Raw genomic sequence first — 27,048 nt, forward strand, 5'->3', positions numbered from 1 at the left:
GTTTATAACCTGTGCTTGGAATGAAGCCATGGTGAACAATGCCTCTACTACTGGAGGGAAGAAAATAAAAATATTAATTATAGTAGCAAACGTCCAGTAAGTGCTTACAGTGTGCCAGATACCATCCTAAGGGCTTTATATGCAGGTATCATCTAACCTTCAACACAGGCTGACACTGTTGGGATTCTGTTCAGGTCCCTTTAGACCCTACTTAAGAGTTCTGTGTATTCCTCTCCAGTAAATATGTGCTTATGTGTTTAAATAGGGGACTTACAACTCTTTCCAGTGGATTGACTCAGGGCTACTGGGGCCTAGTAATTTACATTCTCCCCATCCCTTCCCAGCAATGATAATTGGCCGCAGGATTACTTATACTCAAAGCTCCCCCACAGGATCAGGCTGGGACTTCATTACAAAACACATGTGCCCGACTACTTCCCTTCTCCTGTCATACCTGATTATTTTCATCCTACATATGAGGAAAGTGAAGCCCAAATTAATTTGCCTCAATGTACAAAATGGCAAGTTGCAGAGCCCAGGGCTATCTTCAGAGGGATTTTTAAAGGTGTGTTAAAACACAAGATGAAAGAAATTAATGTGAAAAAGAACACAAGGCCTAGACTCTTCCTTTTGACACAGGATACCTAGATCATTCATACAGTAGTAGTGATAGCTTGTTATGTTGTGTCTGTCTGCCTCTCCTTCATCTCTTTGTCCTTCCCTTCATCCCATCTAAGGACTCTTCTTTTGGAAAAACTGTGGCCATAGAAAAGGGTTTCGTTGAGGAATGAGGTATTTTCCTTGTGTAAACAGGCTGACGTACACATTGATAGAAGCCAGTGATTGTAGATACCTCGGTCTACACAGCCAACAGTTGATCCACCATGTCACCATATTGACAAAGCACTGTACAGCTTAGCTAGCTGTTTTTGTATTGTTGCCATATATTTGAACCAAATTGCATAAACGCTGAGTCATATGTTCATACATTCAAAAGATATTTATTGAGATCTACTCTATACAAAGCACTGTGTTAAGATGGGATACAGTTACAAACCAGACAGACCTTTGCAAAGTTAGTCCATGGAGAGGTTATTCCTTGGGAAAACGCCATAAGTACATGTGAAGTAGAGACACTCACCTTTTTCATGCTCTGTGGTAACAGCAAGACAAGGTCCTCCTCAGGCTGCGCTGCAGGTCTGTCCTCTGAGGACCCTCAGGCTCCATGCTTTTTCTTTATTTAAATTTAAATTCTTTTTCTTTTTATACTGAGTCAGGGTCTCACTATGTTGCCCAGGCTGCTCTTCAACTCCTGGCCTCAGGCAATCCTCCTGCCTCAGCCTCCCAAAGTGCTAGGATTACAGGTGTGAGTCACTGCACCTGGCCTCCATGCTTTAATATTCTCAAAAGGCCACACAAAACACAACTGAGGTCAAACCACAACCATGTTCCTTTGCATCTTCCTTAAGTTAGTGACTTATTTTCTATGTTGACACTGGGACCTTATCATTGTAGTAGGTACAGGTATGATTCAGATGATTAGCTAAATTCCTAAAAGACAAAGACTCCACTAAGAGGTCACCAAAGGCTGAGTGCAGTGGCCCATGCCTGTAATGCCAGCATTCTGGGAGGCTGAGGCAGGAGAATTGCTTGAGCCCAGGAGTCTGAGACCAGCCTGGGCAACATAGTGAGACCGTGTCTCTGCAAAAATATTTTTTTAAATTAGCCAGGCACAGTGGCACCTGCCTATAGTCCTAGCTACTTGGGAGGCTGAGGTGGGAGTCCTAGCCACTTGAGCCTAGGAGTTTGTTACTGCAGTGAGCTATAATCGCACCTGTGACTCCAGCCTGGGAGAAAGAACAAAACCCTATCTAAAAAAAAAACAAAAGAAGATCACCAAAAGAAGTCACGATAAAACTGAAAAAAATAATATGGTTTCTCCTGTGTTTACAGTTTACTGAAGGTATCTTGAGTCCTTTTTTTCCTCTTTCTAAGAACAATGATACATCTTGGATCCTTCATAGTTATCTTTTTCACTGATGTTTTAAACACAAGTACAATACAATCTAATAATAATAATATTGAAAATCTGTTACTGTCTTCAAGATACTTTTTACTGTGACATGCATTCTTATTTAAACAGTAATTACTTACAAATAATAAATTACATAATTTAATTTTTTCAATTTACTCTATATAAATATAGTAAGGAAGATATTATTGTCATGACCTTACAGGTGAGACAATTGAAGTTTAGAACTTTTAAGTTATATATCCAAAGTCATATGGTCTTATTTGTTTCTGCTATGCAAAGCCAGTGACTGATAATTTTATTTGAATGGAAATTTTAATTTGCTTTCACTTTTCTTACTTTCATATGTATCCCAGAAGGTATTTCCATCCAATGTCTACGTCTATTTTATTCTGCCTCAATTAAAAGAAAAATCAAAGAAGATCTACTTTGTTTTGTATTTTTGTTCTCTTAGTATATAAGATTATCTTGAAATCTGGTTATAAGGACTATAACATTTTAATACTCTCCACTCTCCTTCTATAATTAGACAATTATAGAAAATAGCCCTTTGTTCCTGTTTCATTGGTCAGTAAACTATTTTAATAATTAATTGATTTTGCGCTTTAGTTGCATTAGTTACAATATAATGTTGAACAAATTTTACGGCCAAAGTATCTGGTGGGCAATTTAGGTCAGTCTGTTTACTACTACTACTAATGATGATGATGATGATGAAACATGAGCTTGTAAGCTCTATAGTTGCAAAAAGTGCCGCTATTTAGTGTTATGAATTGAAGTGCAGTGCCTGGCACAAAGTAGGCGTGACCTCAAGGGTATCAAAATCCGGAGTGAAAAAGGTAAACAATGAAAGAAGTGAAGAAGGCTGGCACAGAAAACCAAAGGAACTGTAAGTGAAATTAGCTAAAAAGGCTTGGTTGAGATAAAGGTTAAAATTACTGGCCTTTGAAAGAGAAATCCTACACTTTGGCTTCAAAACTTCACAGCCTTTCCCTTTTTTTAATGCCTCTCTGCTGTATCAGATCATCTCCTTGCTTATGACAACTTGAGTGACAACAATGGAGAAGTCCTAGGTGGTGTGCTAATATCTAGTTGGCTTTATGCCAGCCTTTAAATAACCCCTTCCCTATAGGATTATATTGCTGTTGATAAATGGAATTAAGTTAGGATAGAAGTGGAAATTGTTAATGGATGTAAAGGAGATCTGCAGAGGAGATCTCCCCAGTTCAAGGCTAGGTATCTTTCTTTCACAGCAACAACAAAATCAGTTATTGGTGACGTTTATAGAAACCCAGTCAATGAAACATGGGGCTTGGTGCTTCATAAGTTTTTTGTTTGTTTGTTTGTTTGTTTGCTTGTTTTTGCAGTAGCCCTCTGAGGTTCTTACAAAAACCATGAACTCTCTCCAAAAGAAAAAAAAAGACATGCTTTTATATACACCCATCCTTGTTTTCAATTTTTCTTCTGGCTCTCCTACTCCCTGATGGAACCATGGACATTGGATCTATGGACCTAGAGTAAGAATTTCTGTCTGGATAGTTTATAATGCCTCTTCTAGATCTAATATTCTATTTGTCTATGAGTTGATACAGTTGTATTCAGATTCCAAGTTTTTTTGTTGTTGGTTTGTTTTTTGTTTTTTTAAACATGATCTTGCTCTGTCACCCAGGCTGGAGTGCTGTGATACAATCTTAGCTCCCTGCAGCCTCAACCTCCCGGGCTCAAGAGATCCTTCTATCTCATCCTCCCAAGTAGCTGGGACTACAGGCATGTACCACCATACCCGGCTAATTTTTGTGTTTTTTTGTAGAGATGAGGTTTTGCCATGAAGCCCAGCCTGGTCTCAAACTCCTAGACTCAAGCAATCTGCCTGTCTTGGCCTCCCAAAATGCTGGGATTACAGGCATGAGCCACCACGCCTGGCCCAACACTGCCAAATTTTATCCACATTATCTGGGTTAAGTTTCTCAACCTCTCCAAGCTCCTGGCTCTTCATTGTAATTGTGAGGATTAAATGAAGTCATGTGTATAAAAAGGCTTACCTCCTCCCCTTTGTCTCTGTAGTAGGCCAAATGATGCTCCCCTTCCCAAAGATGTCCACACCAATCCCTGGGTCTTATAAATATGTTAAATTGTGTGGCAAAAGGGACTTTGCAGGTATAATGAAGGTTACAGATCTTACGACAGGGAGATGATCCTGGATTATCTGGTGGGCCCAGTCTAATTACATAAGTCCTTGAAAGCAGAGAAATTTTTCCAGCTGGAGTCAGAGAGAAGTGGCAAAAGAAGCAGCGGGAGAAATGAGGCAGAGGAGAGGGCAGGGAGATGTGGAGCGTGGGGATGCAACCAGCATTGCTGACTTTGAGGATGGATAAAAGGAGCCACAATCCAGAGAAGGCAGGTGGCCTCGATGCTGAGAATGACTCAGCCAATAGACAGCAAGGAAACAGAGACCTCAGTCCTACAACTGCAAAAACCTGGATTCTGCCAGCAACCGGAGTGAGCCTGGAAGTGGATTCTCCTACATAGCCTTCAGTAAGGAAAGCAGCTCTGCTGACATCTCAATTTTGGTATGGTGAAACCCTGGGCAGGACTCAGCCAAATCACCGAGACTTTTGATTTACAGAACTGTGAGACAATTAATGTGTGTTGTTTTAAACTGTGTTTTTGGTCATTTGTTATGCCAGCAATAGAAAAAAAATACCCCTACATTTCCCTATTCTCATGACAACCTACTCTCCCAAGGATGGATCGGTTAGTTCCCCCATAAAGTGAATTTCAGCTGAGATGTTGCTGTGCCCAGGTTTTTTGTTGTGATTTTTTTTTAACCTCAAATTATATTTGCTCTTCTACTTATAAGTGAAAGAAACTTTAGGCAGCAACAATCAGAAAGGAGAAGGTGTTTTGAAAAGATGATGTCTTTTTCCTGGCGTTTCTAAAGTTATACCATAGCAGAAGCTGCAAGTCCAGTTGATCTTTTCACAAGTAAGCCTCTGTGTGTTGGTCAGCACCCTGTCCTTCCTACCAAAACAACACCCTTCTTTGTTTAAACCTCCGACTCTCAATTAACTTTTCTCATCAGCCCTACGTAGCCCCCACACCTGGGCTAATTAAGGGATTTCTCTGGGGACATGGACTCAGAATTCTGCTTGGTTTCCATATATAAAGGATAGCTCTCAGGAAGCCAGGTGGATAACTGGAGGAAGACACACAGAACCTCCAGTAAATATTCTGCTGTGATGGAATCCGGAGTTGCCTTGCAATTCCTTCAAACATCGTCATTGCTGAGAGCTGAGAGCTGAGAGCTGATGCGGCATAGGATTTTATCAAGTTGCTCCTTTGAAGACAGTGAGCCCCTGTTTTTCAACCTGCCTGTATGGTCAATAGGCTATACTGTTCCATCCATTTCCACAGGAAACCGGGTGATATGATTTGGCTCTGTGTCCCCACCCAAATCTCATCTTGAATTGTAATCCCTATAATCCTCATATGTTGAGGGTAGAACCCAATGGGAGGTTATTCGACCATGGGAGTGGTTTCCCCCATGCTGTTCTCATAATAGTGGGTTAGTTCTCACAAGATCTAATGGTTTTATAAGGGGCTCTTCCTGCTTCACTCCTCACTCTTCTCTCACCTGCCGTCTTGTGAAGAAGGTGCCTGCTTCCCCTTCCGTAAATTTCCTGAGGCCGCCTCAGCCATGTGGAACTGTGAGTCCATTAAACCTCTTTTCTTTACAAATTACCCAGTCTCAGGTAGTATCTTTACAGCTGTGTGAAAATGAATACACCAGGTGACTTGGCTTGGACCCATGGGGCATCATATCTGGGGAAGCAGATATCTGATGCACCTGGTCTGGATGGTCCCACACATTACAATAGCCAAGATATGAATGAGTAGACACCAAGTGGAATAAGCTCCTGAGTCTGAGCGGAGGCCCTAGGGCTCATCAGAAAATATGATCACAGGGTCATGGGGTGGCATCATGTCACTGACCAAATCTGTACCAGCATTTTGAAGCAACACAGGAAAGAGAAGCTTGAATCTTTCCAGCTTCTGTAGCTGTTGTCAAAGGGACTTGATGCAAAGCACAGGACAGCATTTTTACTATGTGCATTTCAGAAGATTTTCCAAATAACAGAACTGAAACTTCTCTGTCTCACGCTCAGGAGATTGGCCTGGCTTTTCCTTTTGGCTGAATTTCCACTGGCCTCTTTGATCTCCGGTTGTTCAATATGCCCTCGTGCTCTGCATTTCCAGGCTCACCATAGCTTTCTCTCATCTTTCTTCTTCCTGTCACAGCCAAGCTTTAGATTGTCTGGATTATAAATCCCAACTCATTAGATGGCCTATCAAAGATAGGAATTTGCCTTTCATTACAGTGTCCTGTATTATTTTTTATTGTTTACTCTGTAAAAATGTATATCCAGATATGTGAATGTTGTGGACATAGCTATTTGTCTAAGGTTTTGAATCAGGACCATGGAAGCAGAAGGATCCTCAGGATAGAGAGAGAACAGGAAACAAAGTTTGGAATAAAAAATTATGGATTTAAATCCCTGACCACTCCACAGTAGCCTTGAATAACTATGAAATTTCTCTTTGCTCATCTTTTTGACTATAAAATAGGAGTAATTAGACCGATTTATTGTGAAGACTCATTGGAAATCCATGTTCTTACAACAGCCTCCAAGCCTTCTGGCTCTCTCACCCCACCTCCTCTCTATCTTATCTTCTACCTCTCTCTCCTTGTGCTCCTCCTGCTCCAGTCACACTGTCCTGTTAGATATTCCTCAAATATACCCAGAACTGTCTCCCAAGGACATATGCACTCTCTCCCCTCTCCTTGGAAAGCTCTGTCCTCAGATAACCACATGGTTTTCTCTCCCATGTCCTTGGGTTAGCTGCTCAAGTCAGAGACCTACCCTCATCACCTATATTATTTAGAGCAATATCACACTGCCACTTCTACACCTCCCAACCCTGGTACTTCATAGCCCTCTTGAGTACTTTATGTTTGTCCACTGCTCTTATCACCACCTGACATATTACTTATTTATTTTGCATATTGCTCTCCATTAAGAGTTGAGTTTGACTGTTTGTTCACTGTTGTATCTGTTGCAATTCTATGAAGCATGTTTAAAACATTTTGGGTGCTCAAAAAATAAATCCAGAAAGAGTGACTGAGAGAACATATATAAAGTGCTAATGCCCATTACAGGAAGGGCATTTAAGAAACTGCTAATGACAATATATCTGAGGGGTAGTTGTCTGAAATAAACTCTTTTTTAGAGGATTTTCTTGGTGATTTAAAATTTAAACTTTATTTGATGACTTAAAATATATACTTCACTTTGAAGCTTTGAGAGGAAGAAATAATTTGCATCTAGGGGACTAGAATTAATTCTCCTTAGAAATAGCTAACTTCTGCTCTGGTGGGTGACTCAAGAATGGTTCTGTGATCCAAAATGCTGATTTCTCTCTGAAGAGGTGACAAAACAGGAAGTTAGAGAGGAGGGAGATATTTAGCTCCCTGAAGAAGTGGTGGCAATGGCATGGACTTTGGCATCAAGAGATCTGAATTCAGATCCTGATTCTACCACTTAATAGCTAAGGGACTTTGAATAAAATTTACCCTTGCTGAGTCCAGCAGTCTCTTCCTTTCAAATGATGGTAAGAAGAGCTATTGTCTCACAATGTTTCTGCTTCATATGCAGTGTCTCATGTATGAGAAATAAGGCCATGCATATAAAAATGTTTTACAAACTATTAATCACTATGCAAGGATTGGCTATTGTTATTGTTTACAGGGACTTGCAGGCTCTACAGGTTGTCTTGACCTCAAAAAAAATGCCACTTAGTCATTTGTACAAGATTTTGACTTCGAATTGTTAAGTTCTGTTTCGTGAATTTCTTCCCAGCCTGTGACTTTCTTTGCTTTGAGCTTTGATAGCTGTCTAGCACATTCACTTTTATGTTCCGATGATACTTTTCTTCAAGAAACTCGAGATGCTTTGTAGACGATTATCTCATTCATTCTTGCAATTTGAAAAGAAAGAATAAAATTATTTTGAGTCTAGCAAAATGGAGAAAAGCAGGATCACAAAACCCAAGCTGGCTGGGCACAGTGGTTCATGCCTGTAATCTCAGCACTTTGGCAAGCCAAAGCAGGAGAACTGCTTGTGCTCAAGAGTTCAAGACCAGCCTGGGCAACATAGTGAGACTCCACCTCTACAAAAAAATTTTAAGATAGCCAAGTATGGTGGCATGTGTCTATAGTCCTAGCTACTTGGGAGGCTGAAGCAGGAGGATCACTTGAACCTAGAAGCTCAAGATTACAGTGAGCTATGATCATGCCACTGACTCCAGCCTGGGTAACAGAGTAAGATCATCTCAAAGAAAAAAAAAAAGAATCACAGGCTAATTTCTCATCTATGCATTGACTCCCATTTCCATGGAAGGAGGGCTTTGCACCCTCTATCTGGCCTGTGCCCATCTCTACCAGGTATATCAGGGTTTTATCCAAGACATCAGGGAAGGAGAGAAGGGCTTTTACAGAATCTTGTGATAGAACAGGGAACTTTAAACCATAGTAGAGAGGAAATGTGGTGGTTCAACTCTTGTTGATTATGATTGTTAAACAAAAATTATAAAAAGCCACTGTTTTGGGCTAAGGTGATTTTTAAACAAAAATTATAGGAAGCCACTGTTGGCCGGGTGAGATGGCTCACACCTGTAATCCCAGCACTTTGGGAGGCCAAGGTGGGCGGATTATGAGGTCAGGAGATCGAGACTATTCTGGCCAACATGATGAAATCCCGTCTGTACCAAAAATACAAAAATTAGCTGGGTGTAGCGGCGCATGCCTGTAATCTCAGCTACTCGGGAGGCTGAGGCAGGAGAATTGCTTGAACCTGGGAGGTGGAGGTTGCAGTGAGCCGAGAGTGCGCCACTGTACTCCAGCCTGGCGACAGAGCTAGACTCCGTCTCCGTTTTGGGCTAAGCTTCTGTACTAGGCCCTAACAGACCATACTAAAAATCAAAATGGAGTCACCCATGCTAAAGTTCCATGTCACCAAACTGAAACTAAGTTGTTCTCTGAGCTTCTGAGAAATCAGGAGGGAAAGATAACAGCCCGTTTTCCAAACAGTCACAATAATGAATTACCTGTTTTAATCCTTTCAACAAAAAGTAACCAGCATAACCTGGCATTAACCAATCAGTTATCTTTCTATTGTTCTGTCTCCCTGTTCCTGCCTTACTAAGAAATGACCAATCTGCTTTTAAATCTTTGTTTCTGCTTTCTTCAACCCTTTCTGTCTATAAAACCAACCCCCTCTGTTCAACTCACTGGGACACTTACTCTATTTTATGGAATGAAGTGTTACCCAATTCAATTGAGATCTTGAAACAAAATTTGTTTGATTTCTCTTTTGATATGCCTTTTCAATGGGTACTAGGGGACAGGAAGGCACTATGGAAACATGAATGCTTTGCACTTTCTAAGTCGCTGTCTGAGACCCAGAAACAGATTGGTAGGGAAGTGGTTCAGCAAAAATTGGCCTAAGCGTGAGTTTCTCTAAAAATGGAACTTCAGGAAAGCCCAAAATTCAGAAAGGGCAGGACTCATGAGGAAGCCATTGCTTCCCGTAAATGCTGGATTGTGTTTTTCCATAAACATTTACTTGTGTTCTTTTCTGATTTTTTTTTTTTTTTTACCTTGGCTCTCATCCACCAAATGGATAGAAGTACAGGCTTCATCAAGGGCCCAGCGGCCAGAGGAACAATAGTGATTCTATCCGTGTCAATGTCCATGCCCTTGGATGTCACTTAATCTTTCTCTGGCTATTCTTCCCGGTTTTTGAAATGGACATGACATTGCTTGGCCTTCTGTAAATCATGGTATTAATATGAAAACAGAGCAAAATTGTATGTAATCCATATGTAAGCTGGATTCACACTATTCTTAAACTGTCAAATGAAATTGCCTCAAAATCCCTATTACATGTGTTGAGAAACTTGGTCTTCCTTGGGATTCTTATATTTCTTACAGAAATTTTTCCTAGTCAACCTGGCTCTGAATTTCTACCTCTGCCAAACTACTTCATTTTATAGATCACCTGGCCACCCATACATGTCACTTTTCTGTACTAGTTTATAACTTTGTGAGACAGCATCCCAATTACTTCCAGAAAACTGCCAATCCAAGTATATGCTTGTATAAGGCTTTCATTGAAGGTTTAAAAAATGGAAGGCTTTAATATGGCAGCTTTGCAGAAAATAAAAAAGAAGAAGTACACATGAGGGTACTTATGTCCTCAGGCTAATCCTCCTCCAGAAATTTCTTACTGGTCTCCACAGCCAGGTTTCTCAGCCTCTATCTTATCTTCTCCACAGATTCCTGTTAACTTCTTATGCATAGATGTTTAGCTATCAGTGTTGACCTCTGGACCTCATCTTCCTCCCCAATATGGTCTATAAGGTCATTTTGTAAGACAAAAGGCTATGCCCTCCAGAGAAAAGTTATACTGCTAAGGCAGGAGGCAAGGGCAGCTATCACCAGTTATCTTTTCTAATAACACTTTTTATATTCTTTGCACCATATTTGAAAACTCTGTATTTTTAGCAAGAAAGTGTTCTTCATTGAGTTCTTATTAGAGTGAAATCTGACATCCAACACATGCTTTTTTGAAAATGTTATCAGTTGCTATTCTACACATCTAAACTTCATTAATAACTGATTTTTGAAAGAATAATAGCAAAATATTATGAAATTCTGAAGCCCCTCATTTTGACAGGTTTATTGGAGCCCATCGTAGTACATGTCAATGGGAGCAAGGTGTGAAATGGACCTTCAAGGAGAGGTAAGGCAATAGTTTTCTAACATTCTTTTTTTTTTTCTTGCTATCTATTCTCCATAGGACAGATGAAGTAACCTTTGATAAATGCAAATCAGGCCATGCCATTCCTTTGCTTGAAACCCTTTGGTGGTTCCTCATGTATTTATGGGTCAGTCTTCATTCTTACTCCTCTCCAGGTAGGATGGATTCTCAGTTCCTCTGACACACCAAGATCTTTCCCACACCAGCACCTTTGCCACCACCCATCCCCGTCTCCATTGCCTGGAACAAAATTGCCCCTGCTCTGAACATAGCAGAATTTCCCTTGCTCTTGGCATATCTGGATCCTTCTCACCCTTTTGACCTCTGTGTAAGTATAAGCATCACTTCCAGCTGAAGACGTTCTCTTACAGACTCTATCCACACACATGCTGCTAGCATTCTTCATCTTCTCCTCCTTTTCCCCCTTTGTATCACTTACCACAATCTGTGATTATTTTATTATTTGCTTGCTTGCCTCTTTTCTGTCTACTCCACTAGATCATGAGTCTGCAAACTTTTTCTGTAAAGAGCCAGATAGTAAATATTTTAGATTTATGCCATACGGTTTCTGTTGCAACTACTTGACTCTGCCACTGCAGCATAAAATCAGCTGTAGACAATACATAAACAAATTAGTGTGGCTGTGTTCCAATAAAACTTTATTAATGGACACTAAAATTTGAGTTTCATACACTTTGCGTGTGTCATAAAATATTATTATTCTTTCCATTTTTTATTATGTTTTAAAATTTAAAAACCATTCTTATCTTGCAGGTCGTGCAAAAACAGATGGCAGACTAAATTTGGCCCATGGGCTGTAGTTTAATTACCCTTGCAATAGACTGTAAGCTCCAGAAGGACAGGCATGAAATCTTTTGATTAACCACTGAGTCTCTAATATCCAGCACAATATTTGGCACAAAATAGGTACTCAAAAAATATGTATTAAAGGAATAGGGCAATGATACCAAATTCAAAACAAAAGACTGATAGGAAGTATGAACTGGTAGAAAGGCCAAAGGAAAAAAAAAGATAATAGTAAAAATGTGATCACAGAAAACCTTCTAGGCAAAAATTGAATACAGGCCTCTAAATGTCGTGTCCAAAACCCACGCCCAAATAAATGTGTGCTCTCCCTAGGTAGCTTGCCATCCTCTGTAATACTGTGACAGTCCAGTAGACTCAAAGGAGAGGTCAGCATATATTAGTCCTTATGAGGTTTAAACATATATGATGGAATGTGGTGGATTTCATTATTTTTATGCTTTTGAGACTGGAAAATATTTGGTTTGCTGGTGATGGAGGGAGCTGTTGTTATATATAATCCAGTGGGTACTTTAAGATTTGGGTAGTCCGGGTTATATAAGAAAAAAATTTTAAAGTGTAGCTATTAAATGACAATCATCTAAGTTGGTTTAAGAAGTTAATGATTCAAAATGTGAATAATTTAAGATCTGTTTTCCAAAATAACTGTACAAATTTTAATTTAAGCAGCAGTGAGAATAGTGATATCAGTGTCACTTGCAGAATTTGTGTTTGTGTGGGTGCATGTTGCATCCTAATAGACCAAAAAAAAAAATTTCTGCAACTTTGTTCTGAAGTTGACTTTTTATTCAAATTTTTATCATTTTTTTTTGTTCATCATGTCCTTGGCCCCTCCATCTCTTGAGGGTTTTTTTTTTCATTAATTTGTATGAGGCTGTAATATTTTTAATATTTAGGGAGAACTTTCACTTTCCTGACCTCATGTTTTGATGAAGGGACTTCTCTTAGAGAAAAGATTCTTCATCTGAAGTCCATTGGGCATTGAGTCTGGGGATAAAAATGGCAGGAGCAAGTGTTTTTGAACTTTAATAGGAAAATTTATACCTTTATTTTTACTAACTGTATTAGTCTATTCTCATGTTGCTATAAAGAACTACCTGAGACTTGGTAATTTATAAGACAAGAGGTTTAATGGACTTAGGTTTAATTCCGTAGGATCTACAGGAAGCATGGCTGGGGAGGTCTCAGGAAACTTACAATCGTAGCAGAAGGCAAAGAAGGAGGTACGTCTTACATGGCAAGTGCAGGAGGAAGAGAGAGAGAGTAAAGGGGGAAGTGCTACACACTTTCAAACAACCAAATCTCATGAGAACTCACTATCATAAGTACAGCAAGGGGAAAATCTGACCCCATAATCCAACTACCTCCCACCAGGTCCCTTCCCCAACATTGAAGATTATAATTCAGTGTTAGATTTGCATAGGGACACAGAGCCAAACCACATCGCTAACCTTTACCTGAAGTTAGGATTTCTCCAACTCTAATGTAGGTAACTAACCACGTTGATTTAGCAGTACCTGTAACTCTGCCATCAAGAGAAACCATAGATATTTTTATATCACATTACGTATATTGAAATATGTGTTATGCTACCCAAAATTTCAAAATTATAGTAATTATTGAATCTGCCACTAGAGAATGATGAGCTAATTAATTTAATGGGATAATTAAGAAGGATGTATTTTACTAAACCACAAAAAATTTTGAATTTCAGTACATGTGGCTTCCTTTGCAATTCTATGTATTTTATTGACTGAATTTCTAAACGTAGTTTTGAGAATGGGATCCATAGGCTTCACCAAACTGCCAGTGTGGTCCGTGGCACCAAAAAGTTAAGAATTCCTGCCCTGGAATAACACTCATGGCTTCTTTCCACCCCTTGTCTTGATCTTTTCTTTTTTTGTGTGGGAAAGAACAAACTCATGTAATTCATAAGGAGTTAGAGAAGAAGAAGCAGAGCACTTTGTATTCATCAGAATCAGAAACACAGAAGAGGCATAAACGCAGGTTAAGGTGTCTAGGCAGGATCTGGCATTGCTCTGAGCATGCCTTTTACCAAGGAGTCTGTACTAGCTTTGGCCTTCCATCATACTGCCACAACAGAACTCATATTAGAGGACACACAGAAGAGGTATCACTTATATCACTTCATGCTGCACTGACTCTACCTGTGAGGAGCTTGGTATAATGGCCAGTTTTTCCCTCATCCATCTGTCCAACGTCTGAAAAGAAGCTTCAGCCAGGTCTCCTCTGCCTTCCCAGCAACACAACCCACAATTCCAATGCCCTACCTCTCCCTGAAGGTGCAGGCTTGCTCAGAGTCGCACATAGGGCCCCATAATTAAGGTCTCTGCCTTCAAGTGACATACACACTGAGAGACCAAAATCCCTCCTGTCACAGCCTCCATTTGAGTCCCAGCTCAGACTTTCCCACTGCCTTCTTCTGCTTGTGTCTGCCACCTCCTGGTCTGCTTTTCTCTGGGCAAAGGACCATCGCTGTCATTGTAACTGATTCTGGGTTCTGGGTTCTGGGTTCATCAAATGACCTCCATTCACCACAGTTAGCTCCCTTTCGTCTGCTTCTTGTTTTTTATGTTTGCATTTTCTTTCCATCATGCGATTTTATTTTTTACAAGTTCTTCATTATGGATCTTTCTAAGCTGAGAATAACCTGAGTCTTGTCAGCCCCAGAATATTCCCGAAAATAAATTCAGGACGTTATTCCCTGACCTTTGTAAGAAGGACCCCAGAGGAGTGCAAATGTTACCCTCTTTGGATTTCTCCAGATGCTTAGCAGATGGACCCCACCTGGAGGTTGGAAGTAGGGAAAACCTTTCCAAAAGCATCTCTTAATTGAACCAGGTCTTGTCTGGAACTTTTAGAGTATTCGTGCATCTGCTGTAAATATTGTGGGGAAAGATACTGAAGCCTAACTCTTTTCCCACTCACTTTTTCCCTAAGTGCTTGACACCTGGCACCTACTCTAGACTGTTTGCATGCCTCTCCCATTCTTGCAAGGGGACACTTACAGATAACAATGTAGACTATGGCCAGTGGTGCATGCAACTGGAGTTATTTGAGACTCCCCTGCCACAGCACTCCCATCAAGTCTCAAAAATGAACACAATGCTGTGCCAACCTCTCCCATCGTCTAGGGAATCTCCTGGCTTTGACACCCAGTCCCATCCCCTCACACACAGTTTTCCTCAATCTCTGCTAGTGATGGTTAAGCCCCAGATGCTACCATTGACCACTTCCCCATTCATCCACTCTCCAACTCTGGGCAGCCTCATTCGTTCCAGTTCACCTCAGTTAAGAGAGACCAACAAACACCACATTGACAGAATGAAGGATAAAAATCATATGATTATCCCAACAGATGCAGAAAAATAATTTGACAAAATTCAACATACTTTCATTATAAACATTCTCAATAAAGTAGGTATAGAAGGAATGTACTTCAACAGAATAAAGGTCATATATCAAAAGCCCACAGCCAATATCATACTTAGCAAACAAAAGCTGAAAGCTTTTCTTCTAAGCTCAGGGGACAAGAGCACCTACTTTTACCACTTCTATTTAATAGTACTAGAAGTCCTAGCCAGAGCAATTAGACAAGGGAAGGAAATAAAAGTCCTCCAAATTCTAAAGGAAAATGTAAGATTGTCTGTTTGCAGATGACACAATCTTATACATAGAAAACTCTAAAGACCCCATCAAAAAATTGTTAGAACTAATAAATAAATTCAATATAGTTGCAGGATACAAAATCAACATACAAAAATCAGTTGTGTTTCTATATGCTAAAGACAAACTATCTGAAAAGTAATAAAGAATCCCATTTTAAATATAGAAAAGTAAAGAATAATCTCATTTAAAAATACAGGAAAATTAAGAAAACAATCCCATTTAAAATAGCATCCAAAACAATAAACTACTTAGAAATAAATTTAACCAAAGAGGTAAAAGACCTGTACACTAAAAACTATTAATATAAGACATTGATGAAAGAAATTGAAGACACAAATAAATGGAAAGATATCCTATGGAAGAATTAATATTGTTAAAATATCTAAAGTGATCTGCAGATTTGATGCAATTCCTATCAAAATTCCAGTAACTTTTTTTTTTTTTTTTTTAGAGACAGGGTCTCACTCTGTCACCCAAGCTGGAGTGCAGTGGCGCAATCTCAGCTCACTGCAACCTCCACCTCCTGGATTCAAGCAATTCTCCTGCCTGAACCTTCCAAGTAACTGGGACTACAGGTGTGCATTACCACATCTGGCTATTGTTTGTATTTTTAGTAGAGACAGGGTTTCACCATGTTGGCCAGGCTGGTCTTGAACTCCTGGTCTCAAGTGATCCACCTGCCTCACCCTCCCAAAGTGCTGGGATTACAGGCGTGAGCCAGTGCACCTCACCACCAATAACATTTTTAACAAAAATTTTTAAAAATTCTAAAATTTGTATAGAATCACAAAAGACCCTGAATAGCTGAAGCAATCTTGAGAAAAAAAAAACTGAAGGTATACACTTATTTCAAAATATATTACAAAGCTGTAGTACTCAAAACAGCATTATAAGGGCATAAAAACAGACATATAGATCAATGAAACAAAATAGAGAGCCCAGAAATAAATCCTCACATATATGGTCAAGTAATATTTGACAAATGTGCTAAGAATACACAAGGGGGAAAAGACATTCTCTTCAATAAATGGTGTTTGGAAAACAGGACATCTACATGTAAATGAATAAAATTGGACCCCTCTCTTACACCACACACTAAAATTAACTTAAAATCAATTAAAGACTTAAATATAACACCTGAAACCATAAAACACCTAGAAGAAAACATAAGGAAAAAGCTCATTGACATTTGTCTTGACAATTTTTTTTAGATATGACACCAACATCATAAGCCCCAAATGCAAAAATAAACAAGTGGGACTGTATCAAGCTAGAAAGTTTAATACAGCAAAGGAAACAATCACCAAAATGAAAGGTAACCTCAAGATTGGGAGAAAATATTTACAAACCATATGCCTGATAAGAGGTTAATATCCAAAACATATGAGGAACTCATGCAACTCAGCAAAAACAAAACAAAACAAAAACAAACACAAATATTCCAATTAAAAACTAGGCAAAGAAACTGAATAGAAATTTCACTAAAGAAGACATAGAAATGGCCAACAGGTATATGAAAATATGCTCAACATCACCAATCATCAGAGAGAAATGCAAATCAAAACTTGAATGAGATATCACTTCACACCTGTTACAATGGCTGTTATCAAAATGACAAGAGATAACAAGTGTTGGTGAGGAAGTGGAGAAAAGGGAACCCTTGTACGCCGTTGGTGGGAATGTAAATTGGTACACTGATTATGAAAAAACAGGATAAAGGTTCCTCAAAATATTAGAAATAGAACTATCATATGATCCAACAATCTCACTTCTGGGTGTATATCAGAAGGAAACAAAGTCAGTATCTCAAAAATATATCTGCATTCCATGTTCATTGCAGCATTATTTGCAATAGCCAAGACATGGAAACAACCTAAGTATCTGTCAACAGATGAATGGATGTGTTAACTAACCTGATTGTGGTCATCATTTTGCTATGTATATGTATATCAAATCATCACATTATACTCCTTAAAAATATACAATTTTTTTTGTCAGTTTACCTCAGTAAAGCTGGAGAAAAAAGACCACCCAAAGGAAACTCCTGTTGATCCAAGCTGCAGCTTGAGAAAGCACCCTGTCCCTGCCATAGCAGCATGTGCCAGACGAACAGTCTCGGAGCAGAGTTTTGGGGTGTAGCATCTTTTCCTCCAGGAGCCCTTTTCCTCCATAGCACTGCCATCTCTGAGTGCTTAGTGCCTAGCACTGCCCTGGAACTCAGAACACTCAAAAGAAGGAACAGGGAATATACCTAGACTTTAACCTTGTTGATACTATAGTACCTGTCCTGAGTAGTACATTGTAGAGGCCAGCCTGACTAACTGGAAGTCAAAGGAGAAATACCAAGAAGAGGAATGGCCTAGAAAGCCTGTTATATGAGAAACCGTTGAAGTCTAATTTAGCATGGAATGGCCCAATTTGAGAAAAAAGAATATTAAATGGGACATGACAGTTGTTTTCAAGTACTTCAGGATGGCCATATGGAGGACAATCAGACTTATTTTGGATAACTCCAAGTGTGTGTGCAGCAGAGAGAAATAGGACCAATAAGTAAAAGTTATAGGGAGATAATAATCAGCTTAATGTAGAAGAATTTTTCATTGAAGATTGAGTGGTTCGAAATGGACCATGCTGGATTAAGAGGTAGTGAGCATCCCACCACTGGAGATGTTCGAATATACAATAAAACCTTCTTGACAGAGAATTTCTACATTGACTAGTATAATGGAGCAGATAATCTCTGAAGTTCCCACGAAATCTAATATTTTATGATCATCATATCAAGGAGGAGAGGAGAAAATGGAAAGTGATGTTCTATACCATTGATACTAATTGAACTTCTACTGTGTACTATGATACTGTAGTTTTTAGGCCGGGTGCTATGCAAAGTTTTGGAGCTGCCAAGATGGGTATGATAAGATGTCCTGACTCACTGACTCATCCATTCATGTAATAGATGTAATTGTATATGAAAAGCAGATAGCAAAGTAGACAGCGTGATTATTTCTACCTGAGTAGGTTGGTGAGGACTTTAAAGTTAACACCAAGGCAGGCTTTCTAGAAAAACAAGTCTTTGCCAGGAAGCCATTCTAGACAGAGGGGTTTCCCAAGCAAGGCACCAGAAGAGACAAGAAAGGTCTTATTTCATGTGCAGACATGTCCTCCTACACATACAGAAAATGCCAGTGTGACAAATACATACTCATCACTGGCAAACTAGGTCAAGCAGCAAACGAGACCCAAGCAGCAAAAATACACAATGGCAGCGTGAGGAGAGATGACATAGTAAATAGTAAAGAGGAGGGTTTCTCACATGGGGCCTGCCAAAGGGAGCCCAGGACTTCTGGGAACACTCTCACCTCTTGTCTCCTTCAGCAGCCCCTGTTCCAAGTTCTTTCAGGACTGAGTCTTCATTCTTCTCTAATATTACCCCAGCTCTCCTTGATAAGACTTGATGAGAGCAGAAACCTTTAGCTTTTTTCATGTGAATCACCATATAGCAGATAGGGGAGAAGAGGGAAGTAGGGAGGGGACATCTAAACAGGGACTCTATGCTAGAAGCAGCACTTAGAATATTCCACATGCTATCACAGGCCAATACACGGAAGGTCAGGCAGGCTTTCACTGCCTCTCTTTGAATTTGTTCAATGATTTTTTTGTTTTTCTTATTTGGTTTTTACTCTATTTGCTCCTTACTGAGGACTCTAAGTGAACCCTGTCTTTTCTATCCAACCTCACATATAATTATTGAGTACTTATTCTGCGCATTTTTCTACAAAACTTTATCTGTACTTCTCCCGTCACTTATTTATTCATCCCACAAATAATCATTGAGCACATAAAAAGCACCAGTCACTGTTTAAGATTTTTTTTTATTATTATACTTTAAGCTCTGGGATACATGTGCAGAATATGCAGGTTTGTTACATAGGTATACACGTGCCACGGTGGTTTGCTGCACCCATCAACCCATCATCTACATTAGGTATTTCTCCTAATGCTATCCCTCCCTTAGCCCCCCAACCCCCAACAGGCCCCAGTGTGTGATGTTCCCTTCCCTGTGTCCATGTGTTCTTATTGTTCAACTCCCACATATGAGTGAGAACATGCGGTGTTTGGTTTTCTGTTCCTGTGTTAGTTTGCTGAGAATGATGGTTTCCAGCTTCATCCATGTCCCTGCAAAGGACATGAACTCATCCTTTTTATGGCTGCATAATATTCCATGGTGCATATGTGCCACATTTTCTTTATCCAGTCTATCATTGATGGGCATTTGGGTTGGTTCCAAGTCTTTGCTATTGTGAATAATGCCGCAATAAACATACGTGTGCATGTGTCTTTATAGCAGAATGATTTATAATCCTTTGGGTATATACCCAGTAATGGGATTGCTGGGTCAAATGGTATTCCTATTTCTAGATCCTTGAGGAATTGCCACACTGTCTTCCACAATGGTTGAACTAATTACATTCCCACCAACAGTATAAAAGTGTTCCTATTTCTCCACATCCTCTCCAGCATCTGTTGTTTCCTGACTTTTTAATGATTGCCATTCTAACTGGCATGAGATGATATCTCATTGTGGTTTTGATTTGCATTTCTCTAATGACCAGTGATGATGAGCTTTTTTTCATATGTTTGTTGGCTGTGTAAATGTCTTCTTTTGAGAAGTGTCTGTTCATATCCTTCACACACTTTTTGATGGGGTTTTTTTTTCTTGTAAATTTGTTTAACTTCCTTGTAGATTCTGGATATTAGTCCTTTGTCAGATGGATAGATTGCAAAAATTTTCTCTCATTCTGTAGGTTGCCCGTTCACTCCGATGATAGTTTCTTTTGCTGTGCAGAAGCTCGTTAGCTTAATTAGATCCCATTTGTCAATTTTGGCTTTTGTTGCCATTGCTTTCGGTGTTTTAGTCATGAAGTCTTTGCCCCTGCCTATGTCCTGAATGGTATTGCCTAGGTTTTCTTCTGGGGTTTTTATGGTTTTAGGTCTTCTGTTTAAATCTTTAATCCATCTTGAGTTAATTTTTGTATAAGGTGTAACGAAGGGGTCCAGTTTCAGTTTTCTGCATATGGCTAGCCAGTTTTCCCAACACCATTTATTAAATAGGGAATCCTTTTGCCATTGCTTGTTTTTGTCAGGTTTGTCAAAGATCAGATGGTTGTATATGTGTGGCGTTATTTCTGAGGCCTCTATTATGTTCCATTGGTCTATATCTCTGTTTTGGTGCCAGTACCATGCTGTTTTGGTTACTGTAGCCTTGTAGTGTAGTTTGAAGTCAGGTAGTGTGATGCCTCCAGCTTTGTTCTTTTTGCTTAGGATTGTCTTGGCTATATGGGCCTTCTTTCTGTTCCATATGAAATTTAAAGTAGTTTTTTCTAATTCTGTGAAGAAGTCAATGGTAGCTTGATGGGGATAGCACTGAATCTACAAATTACTTTGGGTAGTATGGCCATTTTCACACTATTGATTCTTATCCATTACCATGGAATGTTTTTCCATCTGTTTTGTCGTCTCTGATTTCCTTGAGCAGTGGTTTGTAGTTCTCCTTGAAGAGGTCCTTCACATCCCTTGTAAATTGTATTCCTAGGTATTTTATTCTCTTTGTAGCAATTGTGAATGTGAGTTCATTCATGATTTGGCTGTCTATTATTGGTGTATAGGAATGCTTTTGATATTTGCACATTGATTTTATATCCTGAGACTGCTGAAGTTGCTTATCAGCTTAAAGAGATTTTGGGCTGAGAAAATGGGGTTTTCTAAATATGCAATTATGTCATCTGCAAATAGAGACAATTTGACTTCCTCTCTTCCTATTTGAATACCCTTTATTTCTTGCTCTTGCCTGATTGCCCTGGCCAGAATTTCCAATACAATGTTGAATAGAAGTGGTTAGAGAGGGCATCCTTGTCCTATGCCAGTTTTCAAAGGGAAGGCTTCCAGCTTTTGCCCATTCAGTATGATATTGGCTGTGGGTTTGTAATAAATAGCTTTTATTATTTTGAGATACTTTCCATTAATACCAGTTTATTGAGAGTTTTTCGTTTGAAGGGTTTGGATTACATTTACTGATTTGCCCATGTTGAACCAGCCTTGCATCCCAGGGATGAAGTCAACTTGATCGAGTTGGATAAGCTTTTTGATATGCTGTTGGATTCGGTTTGCCAGTATTTTATGGAGGATTTTCACATTGACGTTCATCAGGCAAATTGGCCTGAACTTTTCTTTTTTTGTTGTGTCTCTGCCAAGTTTTGGTATCAAGACAATGCTGGTTTCATAAAATGAGTTAGGGAGGAGTCCCTCTTTTTCTGTTGTTTGGAATAGTTTCAGAAGGAATGGTACCAGCTCCTCTTTGTACCACTGGTAGAATTCCACTGTGAATCCATCTGGTCCTGGGCTTTTTCTGGTTGGTAGGCTATTAATTACTGCCTCAATTTCAGAACTTGTTATTCGTCTATTCAGGGATTTGACTTCTTCCTGGTTTAGTTTTGGGACAGTGTATGTGTCCAGGAATTTATCCATTTCTTCTAGATTTTCCAGTTTATTTGCATAGAGATGTTTATATTATTCTCTGATGGTAGTTTGTATTTCTTTGGGATCAGTGGCGATATCACCTTTATCATTTATTTATTGTGTCTATTTGATTCTTCTCTCTTTTCTTCTTTATTAGTCTGGATAGCAGTCTATTTTGTTAATCTTTCCAAAAAACCAGCTCCTGGATTCATTGATTTTTTGAAGGGTTTTTGATGTCTCTATCTCCTTCACAGTTCTGCTCTGATCTTAGTTATTTTTTGTCATCTGCTAGCTTTTGAAGTTGTTTGCTCTTACTTCTCTAGGTCTTGTAATTGTAACGTTAGGTGTCAATTTTAGATATTTCCCGCTTTCGAAGTTGTTTGCTCTTACTTCTCTAGGTCCTGTAATTGTAATGTTAGGGTGTCAATTTTAGATCTTTCCCGCTTTCTCCTGTGGGCATTTAGTGCTATAAATTTTTCTCTAAACACTGCTTTAGCTGTGTCCCAGAGATTCTCATACATTATGACTTTGTTCTCACTGGTTTCAAATAACTTATTTTTTTCTGCCTTAAGTTCATTATTTACCCAGTAGTCATTCAGGAGCAGGTTGTTCAGTTTCCATGTAGTTGTGTGGTTTTGAGTGAGTTTCTTAATCCCAAGTTCTAATTTGATTGCACTGTGGTCTGAGAGACTGTTTGTTATGATTTCTGTTCTTTTGCATTTGCTGAGGAGTGTTTTACTTCCAATTATGTGGTCAATTTTAGAATAAGTGTGATGTGGTGCTACGAAGAATGTATATTCTGTTGATTTGGGGTGGAGAGTTCTGTAGATGTCTATTAGGTCCACTTGCTCCAGAGCTGAGTTCAAGTCCTGAATATCCTTGTTAATTTTCTGTCTTGTTGATCTGTCTAATATTGACAAAGGGGTGTTAAAGTCTACCACTATTATTCTTTGGGAATCTAAGTCTTTTGTAGGTCTCTATATTAGGATAGTTAGCTCTTATTGTTGAATTGATCCCTTTGCCATTATGTAGTGTCCTTCTTTGTCTTTTTTGATCTTTGTTGGCTTAAAGTCTGTTTTATCAGACACTAGGATTGCAACCCCTGGCTTTTGTTTTTTTTTTGTTTTTGTTTTTGTGTTTTTTTTTTTGCTTTCCATTGTTTGGTAAATCTTCCTCCATCTCTTTATTTCGAGCACATGTGTGTCTTTGAATATGACATGGGACTCCTGAATATAGCACACTGATGGGTCTTGACTCTATCCAATTTGCCAGTCTGTGTCTTTTAATTGGGGCATTTAGCCCATTTGCATTTAAGGTTACTATTGTTATGTGTGAATTTTATCCTGTCATTATGACTCTAGCTGCTTTTTTTGCTCATTAGTTGATGCAGTTTCTTCACAGTGTCGATTGTCTTGGCAATTTGGTATGTTTTTGCAGTGGCTGGTACCAAGTTTTTTATTTCCTTATTTAGTGCTTCCTTCAGGAGCTCTTGTAAGGCAGGCCTGGTGGAGAGAAAATCTCTCCGCATTGCTTGCCTGTAAAGAATTTTATTTCTCCTTCGCTTATGAAGCTTAGTTTGGCTGGATATGAAATTCTGGGTTGAAAATGCTTTAAGCATGTTGAATATTGGCCCCCACTCTCTTTTAACTTATAGGGTTTCTGCAGAGAGATCCACTCTTAGTCCGATGGGCTTCCCTTTGTGGGTAACTCGACCTTTCTCTCTGGCTGCCCTTAACATTTTTTTTCTTCATTTCAGCCTTGGTGAATCTGAAGATTATGTGTCTTGGGGTTGAACTTCTTGAGGAATATCTTTGTGGTGTTCTCTGTATTTCCTGAATTTGAATGTTGGCCTGTCTTTCTAGGTTGGGGAAGTTCTGGATAATATCCTGAAGAGTGTTTTCCAACTTGGTTCCATTTTCCCCATCATTTTCAGGTATACCAATCAAACATATGTTTGGTCTTTTCACATAGTCCCATATTTCTTGGAGGCTTTGTTCATTCCTTTTCATTCTTTTTTCTCTAATCTTGTCTTCATGCTTTATTTCATTAAGTTGATCTCAATCTCTGATATCCTTTCTTCCGCTTGATCGATTTGGCTACTGATACTTGTGTATGCTTCACAAAGTTCTCGTGCTGTGTTTTTCAGCTCCATCAGGTCATTTATGTTCTTCTCTAAACTGGTTATTCTAGTTAGCAATTCCTCTAACCTTTTTTCAAGGTTCTTAGCTTCCTTGCATTGGATTAGAACATGCTTCTTTAGCTGTGGAGTTTGTTATTACCCACCTTCTGAAGCCTACTTCTGTCAATTCATCAAACTTATTCTCAGTCCAGTTTTGTTCTCTTGCTGGCGAGGAGTTGTGATCCTTTGGAGGAGAAGAGGCATTCTGGTTTTTTGAATTGTCAGCGCTGGCTTTTCCTCATCTTCATGGATTTATCTAGCTTTGGTCATTTATGCTGGTGACTTTTGGATGGGGTTTTTGTGTGAACATCCTTTTTGTTGATGTTGATGCTATTCCTTTCTGTTTGTTAGTTTTCCTTCTGACAGGCCTCTCTGCTACAGGTCTGCTGGAGTTTGCAGGAGGTCCACTCCAGACCCTGTTTGCTTGGGTATCACCAGCGGAGGCTGCAGAACAGCAAATATTGCTGCCTGTTCCTTCCTCTAGAAGCTTCATCTCAGAGGGGCACCCGCCAGATGCCAGCCAGAGCTCTCCTGTATGAGGTGTCTGTCAACCCCTCCTGGGAGCTCTCTCCCAGTCAGGAGGCATGGGGGTCAGGGACCCACTTGAGGAGGCAGTCTGTGCCTTAGCAGAGCTTCAGCACTGTGCTGGGAGATTTGCTGCTCTGTTCAGAGCCAGCAGGCAGGAACGTTTAAGTCTGCTGAAGCTGTGCCCACAGCTGCCCCTTCCCCCACGTGCTCTATCCCAGGGATATAAGCCTCTGATTGGGGCTGCTGGCTTTCTTTCAGAGATGCACTGCCCAGAGAGGAGGAATATAGAGAGGCAGTCTGGCCACAGTGACTTTAGAGCTGTGGTGGGCTCTGCCCAGTTTGAACTTCCCAGAGGCGTTGTTTACACTGTGAGGGGAAAACTGCCTACTCAAGCCTCAGTAATGGCAAACGCCCCTCCCCGCACCAGGCTCCAGCATCTCAGGTCGACTTCAGACTGCTGTGCTGGCAGTGAGAATTTCAAGCCAGTGGATCTTAGCTTGCTGGGCTCCGTGGGGGTGGGATCCACTGAGCTAGACCACTTGGCTCCCTGGCTTCAGCCCGCTTTCCAGGGGAGTGAATGGTTCTATCTCACATTCTAAGCACCACTGGTGTATGAAAAAAAACTCCTGCAGCTGGCACAGTGTCTGCCCAAACAGCCGCCCAGTTTTGCGCTTGAAACCCATGGCCCTGGTGGTGTAGGCACCCAAGGGAATCTCCTGGTCTGCGGGTTGCGAAGACCACGGGAAAAGCATAGTATCTGGGCCAGAATGCACTGTTCCTCATGGCACAGTCCCTCATGGTTTCCCTTGGCTAGGGGAGGGAGTTCCCCCACCCCTTGCACTTCCTGGGTGAGGTGACACCACACCCTGCTTTGGCTTGCCCTCCGTGGGCTTCACCCACTGTCTAACCAGTCCCATTGAGATGAACCAGGTACCTCAGTTGGAAACTCAGAAAGCACCCGCCTTCTGCGTTGATCTCATTGGGAGCTGCAGACCAGAGCTGTTCCTATTCAGCCATCTTACCAGCCACCCCCAAGTCTTCAAAAATTAATGATATAACAGTGAGCAAAACACACAGAACTCTCACTTTTTTGGGGAACTTCTCTTCTATGTTCCCTCCCCCACTGTCCCTGGCCCCCAGCCTTGAGTGCAATACCGCACACACACAGAGAGTAAGAATCCTTCTTTAAAACAGCATTCTCTAAGTGGATCTGTTTCCTGATTTGCCCACTCTGGATAAAATCTTGACTATAATTCTCAGTTGGAGCCCAACAGACCCAGAAAGCTATTTATAATTACATCTGAAGAGTACTTTCACTGAGGACTTTATGGAAATAGCAACTGAGGGTGGTTGAACTTTTTAGTATCATATTGCAATTTATTGAAAATTAAAAATTTTAGACTCGTTTCTGTAATTGCTATAATTTCTGATTTTAAGTGTCTTCATCAATTGATTTCTAAAGATACTTCTCTTCCCTCAACTCAAAGCCAACCTCCACTTAATGGCCAGACAGAAATGGCTTTGGGTCGACTTTAGTTGGAATGTGACAGCTTCCTGCCTCTCTCTGGGACTCTGACTGCTCTTTTAACCTCTCTGTGTCTCAATTTCTCATCTGTAAAAGAATGTCATAATAGTGACTACATCATAGGATTACAGTGATGGTCAAATAAATTAAACTTGCAAAGTGCCTTAAAGATAAATAAGTTTAATATTAGTGTTGACTAATGTTCACTGTTGCTATTGCCCTCTTATCTCTTTCCTATTCTATGGTTTTACTTTGTCAAATCAAAGAGACTTAACTATAGTAGATACCCACTAAATAACGTATAGAATGAATTAACAAATTGGTACATGAAAGAGGAGCACTGCCGTCAAGAAGTTCACAACCTGTAGGAGAGGCAGACAGATGCTCAGCCCATAAGGAGTCAATCTGTAAACCACACCACAATGATAGAAAATGCTTGGGCTGGGATTCATTCTTCTGGGAAAGATTACAGAAGCTACCACAGAGCAGTGACAGCCATTCAAAAATCTGTACTGTCTGACTCCCCGTTGGAGTCTGCCTCCTGTTAGACCATATTTGTTCAATGTCTGTTCAGAAAAGATGATGACTCCTATGAGGGGAAAGGCAGAGATGGATTTATAGAGCCCAAGCTTCAAACCAGAAGATCCCAAACGATACTTTTCTTCTCTAAACTCTGCCACTAACCAAATTTGCCCCATCCCAAGAAGACCATCTGTTGTTATTGAAGCATGATTCGTAAGAGTCACCCCTTCCCCAAGCCACATTCCAAAGTAACCCTTCAAACTATACTTTGCACTCTCTCTCATTAAATGCTGGTAAATACAACCCCCCTAGACTTGTTCCATACCCAGCTGTGTTTAAGGCTCCCCATCAG

At 40.0% G+C, this 27,048-nt stretch overlaps 1 long non-coding RNA gene across 1 annotated transcript in view, besides 1 other annotated feature; it reads right to left on the minus strand.

The window, feature by feature from the left end:
* Positions 1-27,048, minus strand: part of LINC00970 (long intergenic non-protein coding RNA 970) — a 183,101-nt gene that overhangs the window by 69,448 nt on the left and 86,605 nt on the right. The gene's annotated exons all lie outside the window — the stretch shown is intronic.
* Positions 18,468-18,657: an enhancer, noted in NCBI's record as "active region_2063". NCBI's record gives its function as "activates an Ori minimal core promoter by ATAC-STARR-seq in GM12878 lymphoblastoid cells {active_cell/tissue: GM12878}" and the evidence as "EXISTENCE:reporter gene assay evidence [ECO:0000049][PMID:35858748]".

Source organism: Homo sapiens, chromosome 1 (assembly GCF_000001405.40).
Source record: "Homo sapiens chromosome 1, GRCh38.p14 Primary Assembly".
Lineage (NCBI taxonomy): Eukaryota > Metazoa > Chordata > Mammalia > Primates > Hominidae > Homo > Homo sapiens.